The 3,051-nt window shown below is 47.4% G+C and overlaps 1 pseudogene; it reads left to right on the forward strand.

Moving 5' to 3' along the window:
* On the forward strand, positions 358-1,317 carry RPL23AP2 (ribosomal protein L23a pseudogene 2; annotated as a pseudogene).

Here is a 3,051-nt window from a genome sequence, read left to right on the forward strand (position 1 = left end):
GAGGCCGAGGTGGTTGGATCACTTGAGGTCAGGAGTTGGAGACCAGCCTGGCCAATATGGTGAAACCCTGTCTCTACTAAAAATACAAAAATTAGCTGGGTGTGGTGGCTCATGCCTGTAATCTCAGCTGCTCGGGAGGCTGAGGTAGGATAATCGCTTGAACCTGGTGGGGCGGAGGTTTCAGTGAGCCGAGATTGGCACCATTGCCCTCCAGCCTGGGTGACAAAGTGAGACTCTGTCTCAAAAAACAAAGCAAAGCAAAACAAAACAAAACGAAACAGAACTACTCACCTATGTTGTGGATCAACTGTGTCCCCACTGTACCAAATCCTTATTTATTTAAAAAAATTTGTTTTGGACCCTTTTCACAAGATGGTGCCGAAAGTGAAGAAGGAAGCTCCTGCCCCTCCTAAAGCCGAAGCCAAAGCGAAGGCTTTAAAGGCCAAGAAGGCAGTGTTGAAAGGTGTCCACAGCCACAAAAAGAAGATCCACACGTCACCCACCTTCCGGCGGCCGAAGACACTGCGACTCCGGAGACAGCCCAAATATCCTCGGAAGAGCGCTCCCAGGAGAAACAAGCTTGACCACTATGCTATCATCAAGTTTCCGCTGACCACTGAGTCTGCCATGAAGAAGATAGAAGACAACAACACACTTGTGTTCATTGTGGATGTTAAAGCCAACAAGCACCAGATCAAACAGGCTGTGAAGAAGCTCTATGACATTGATGTGGCCAAGGTCAACACCCTGATTCGGCCTGATGGAGAGAAGAAGGTATATGTTCGACTGACTCCTGATTACGATGCTTTGGATGTTGCCAACAAAATTGGGATTATCTAAACTGAGTGCAGCTGCCTAATTCTGAATATATATATATATATCTTTTCACCATATACATGCCTCTCTGTCAATTTCTGGTTGGGCTGGGAGGCCACACACAGACACTGACATGACAGGGCTTGGGCAAGACTCCTGTTCTACTTATCCTTTTGAAATATTCACCCTGCCACTCCACCATGTGTGATCACTCCAGAGATCTTTGTGACTAGAGTTAGTGTCCTAGGAAAACCAGAACTCAGAACTTGCCTCCATGGTTGAGGGTAACAAGAAGCTGTACAAGAACCCCTTTTATCCCTGGAAGAGGCTGTGTATGAAACCAATGCCCAGGGTTTGAAGGGCGTTAGCATCCATTTCAGGGGAGTGTGGATTGGCTGGCTTTCTGGTAGCATTTTGTCCTCACACACCCATCTACTGTGTCCAACCGGTCTGTCTGCTTCCCTCACCCCTTGCCCAATAAAGGACAAGGACTTCAGAGGAAAAAAAAAATTGTTTTAATTATTACATTTATAGCATCCCAGCTTGAAAAACGAAGCAACAGAGACGTGTAGAAAGTTAAAAGGTTTCTACTCCAATTGTAATTTCTCCAATTCCATCGTGGTATGTGCATTCTTCTGGATTTTTTTCAGTGTGCATACACATGTGTACATACAGACACATACACATACACTCGTACGTTTTTTATATTGATGGGACCATTACTCACATCTTTAATTTGGAACTTATTCTCTGCTCTCTCTCCCTGTGTCTGATAGAATGCTGGCAATGCTTTGTGATGCTTTAGGAGACACATTTGTCAGATGTGAAGACTTAGGCTTAGGAATTGATGGGTGGTGACTGAGGCTGGTCACTCTGTGGTCTGGTGCACTTTCCCACTGCCCCACTCTGGGTAGGGGTGGAAGGGCCCCTGCAGAGAAGCACCAGCTTCTGTTTTCCCATGAGTGACTCCCCTCCCTCCAATACTCACTAGGGGACTTTCCATAAGCCAGGCTGTGTGATTTGGCCCCTGAGATATTCCTGGTTGGATGAGAAATCTTGGGGAGACTCCAGCCTTCTCAGGCACAAAACTCCCAGAGTAGAGAGCTCCCTCTGGACTATCTCTCCTGCCCTTGGCCTCAATTTCCTGTTCTGCTACCTGGTCCAGGAATCAGGACCTCAGTGATGAAACTTGGCTTCTCCCAGGCTGCAGAGTCCTGCTGGGGTGTGAGTCCTTGCTCATGGCTCATGAAAGTTCAACATATGCTTATGGCTTCAATATTGGGCCAGATTTCACTTCCCACCTTGGCCTTCCCAAGGATGAATTGTGTGGTCCCATGTGTTGGTGATCTCAGCATGAACTGCAAAGGAAGAAGAACTCATGTGCATTTTTGCGCAGCTGGGTGCCGCATCCCATGGCTGCCCTTGGAGGGTCTCCCTCTTCATTCATGTCTCTGCTAAAAGGTCACCTCCTCCTGGAAGCCCTCCCTGATTCTCTGATTTATTGGATTGTCTGATTTATTGGATCATTGCCTGTCTCTTTACGTGATGTGATACCTTTGACAGCTGAGCACTCACTGTTGCATCCCCAGTGCCTGGCACATAGTAGGTGCTCAAGAAACATATAGTTGCATGAACAGCCCTGAGAGGCATAGATTTTTCTTTTTATTTTATAACTGAAAGAAGCCCTGAGAATCAGAAAGGTTAAGGGGTTAACTCCCAGCATCCCTGCAAAGCCTGGAGCCAGGAATCTTAAAACAAGTCTACTTAAACTTGAAGGATTGTATAGGGATTTCCTGGGGTTCTATTAAGATGCAATCCTGAGTTAGTATTTCTGGATTGGGGCATGGGATTCTGCATTTCCTGCCAGCTCTCAGGTAATGCTCATGGCGCAGGTCCCTGGACCACACTTTGAGTAACTGAGCCTTACAGTTAAAGTGCATGTTGCCAGCTCCTTCCCTTCACCTCCTCTTTTTGAGGCTCTTTCCTCTGAAGACTCCTCCTCTGTCCCCCTCTAAAGCCCCTCATTCCACATCCCATCTCCCAAATGCAAAATCTGAGCTCACAGCAATTTGGGAGGCCGAGGTGCGCAGATCACGAGGTCAGGAGTTCGAGATCAGCCTGGCCAACATGTGAAACCCTGTCTCTACTAAAGATACAAAAAATTAGCTGGGCGTGGTAGTGGGCGCCTGTAATCCCAGCTACTCGGGAGGCTGAGGCAGGAGAATCGCTTGAACC

Source organism: Homo sapiens, chromosome 19, assembly GCF_000001405.40.
Source record: "Homo sapiens chromosome 19, GRCh38.p14 Primary Assembly".
In the NCBI taxonomy this organism is placed as follows: domain Eukaryota; kingdom Metazoa; phylum Chordata; class Mammalia; order Primates; family Hominidae; genus Homo; species Homo sapiens.